Below are 2,130 nucleotides of genomic sequence, written 5' to 3'. Positions count from 1 at the left end.
CTGTGGTGGTGAAGCCAAGATCCTCATCCAATGATAACAAGATCTCCTTGTGAGGATGTCTAGTGAAAAAGTGAAGTGATTCAGCTGACATTGACATACTCAGAATCACCCCAGATTCACATGCAGGAGCTGGTTTTGAAATGAAGACTCTAGAACAGGGGTGTCCAATCTTTTGGCTTTTCTGTGCCACGTTGAAAGAAGAGTTGTCTTAGATTACACATAAAATAAACTGACACTAACAATAGCTAATGAGCTAAAAAAGAAAAAATCGCAAATAAATCTCATAATGTCAGAAGCATTTGAACCAGAGCAACTCCATCGTGAATAACAGCTGGGTAAAATGAGGCTGAAACCTACCGCGCTGCGTTTCCAGATGGTTAAGGCATTCTTAGTCACAGGATGAGATAGGAGGTTGGCACAAGATATAGGTCATAAAGACCTTGCTGATAAAACAGGCTGCAGTAAAGAAGCTGGCCAAAACCCACCAAAACCAAGATGGCGACGAAAGTGACCTCTGGTCGTCCTCACTGCTACGCTCCCATCAGCGCCATGACAGTTTACAAATGCCATGGCAACGTCAGGAAGGTACCCTATATGGTCTAAGAAGGAGAAGCATGAATAATCCACTCCTTGTGTAGCATACCATCAAGAAATAACCACAAAAATCAGCCACCAGCGGCCCTCGGGGCTGCTCTGGCTATGGAGTAACCAGTCTTTCATTCCTTTACTTTCCTAATAAACTTGTTTTCACTTTACTCTATGGACTTGCCCTGAATTCTTTCTTGTGTGGGATCCAAGAACCCTCTCTTGGGGTCTGGATCAGGACTCCTTTCCTGTAACAATAATGTTTTAAGAAAGTTTATGAATTTGCGTTGGGCCACATTCAAAGCCATCCTAGGCTGCATGCAGACCCTGGGCCGTGGGTTGGACAAGCTTGCTCTTGCATAGTTTCTCCAAGTTTGTGCACTTTTTCTCATAACGCACAAGCTTCCTTCCTTCCCTCCCTCCCCCCTCCCTCCTTCCCTTCCTTCTTCCTTCCTTCCTTCCTTCCCTCTTTTCTACCTTTTTTTTTTTTTTTTGGATAACTTATAAGATTAAGCAAGCTTTGTCCAAACTTCCAATGTTCTTCAGACTTTAAAAGGAGAATGATACAAGAATCCACGTTGTCACCTAAAAGGGGTGGCTCCCAGGTTTACCCACTGTCCTCAGGCAGTAACTGTGCCCTTGTTTTACATATAAAACACCTGAGGCCCACAAAGGTTGACAGGATTGCCTGAAGACACCTCTAGGTCAAAAATCTGCCTTCTTTCCTTTATGCTTGAATTCCTTTAAAATGAAGTACAATCTAATTGCTTGTAAAACAAAGAAGTTGAACTAGCTGCTATCTGAGGTCTCTTTCAAATGTAAAATTCCATGACTTTGTGACTTTACCAAAGGGATTTTTTTACCAAAGGCTAAAACCCCTATGCTGGGGGCTGGCATTGTAATGGTGAGGGAAGGAGTGAAAAGAGAATATACTGTCCATGCCATAGAGAAGTACACATTTAAATAACAGTGTATTGTATCCTTCATGGTTTCAATCGAATGGCACTGTTAACTGGAAAGAGCTCTGATCCAGACCTGCAAGAGAGGGTTCTTGGATCTTTCACCAGAAAGAATTCAGGGCAAGTCCATAGAATAAAATGAAAGCAAGTTTATTAAAAAAGTAAAGGAATAGGTCAGGTGCAGTGGCTCATGCCTGTAATCCCAACACTTTGGGAGGCCGAGGTGCGTGGGTCTTTTGTGGTCAGGAGTTTGAGATCAGCCTGGCCAAGATGGTGAAACCCTGTCTCTACTAAAAATACAAAATACAAAGTACAAAATACAAAAATTAGCCTGGCATGGTGGCACACGCCTGTAGTCCCAGCTACTCGGGAGGCTGAGGCAGAAGAATCGCTTGAACTGGGGAGGCGGAGGTTGCAGTGAGCTGACTTTGTGCCATATATATATAATATAAATAATATTATATACAATATATATAATATAAATAATATATATAATATAAATAATATTATATATGATATATAATATAAATAATATTATATATGATATATAATATAAATAATATTATATATGATATATAATATAATA

The 2,130-nt window shown here is 40.6% G+C and overlaps 1 annotated feature.

Annotated features, from left to right (window-relative positions):
• Window positions 948-1,724: an enhancer, noted in NCBI's record as "OCT4-NANOG-H3K27ac hESC enhancer chr7:67874686-67875462 (GRCh37/hg19 assembly coordinates)". NCBI's record gives its function as "activates a minimal SCP1, AML or CMV promoter by ChIP-STARR-seq in primed H9 embryonic stem cells {active_cell/tissue: H9 hESC(primed)}" and the evidence as "EXISTENCE:reporter gene assay evidence [ECO:0000049][PMID:30033119]".

The sequence above is a fragment of the Homo sapiens genome, chromosome 7 (genome assembly GCF_000001405.40).
Source record: "Homo sapiens chromosome 7, GRCh38.p14 Primary Assembly".
Lineage (NCBI taxonomy): Eukaryota > Metazoa > Chordata > Mammalia > Primates > Hominidae > Homo > Homo sapiens.
The sequence above is the reverse complement of the archived record's forward strand: the minus strand, read 5'-3'. Positions and strand labels throughout refer to the sequence as shown.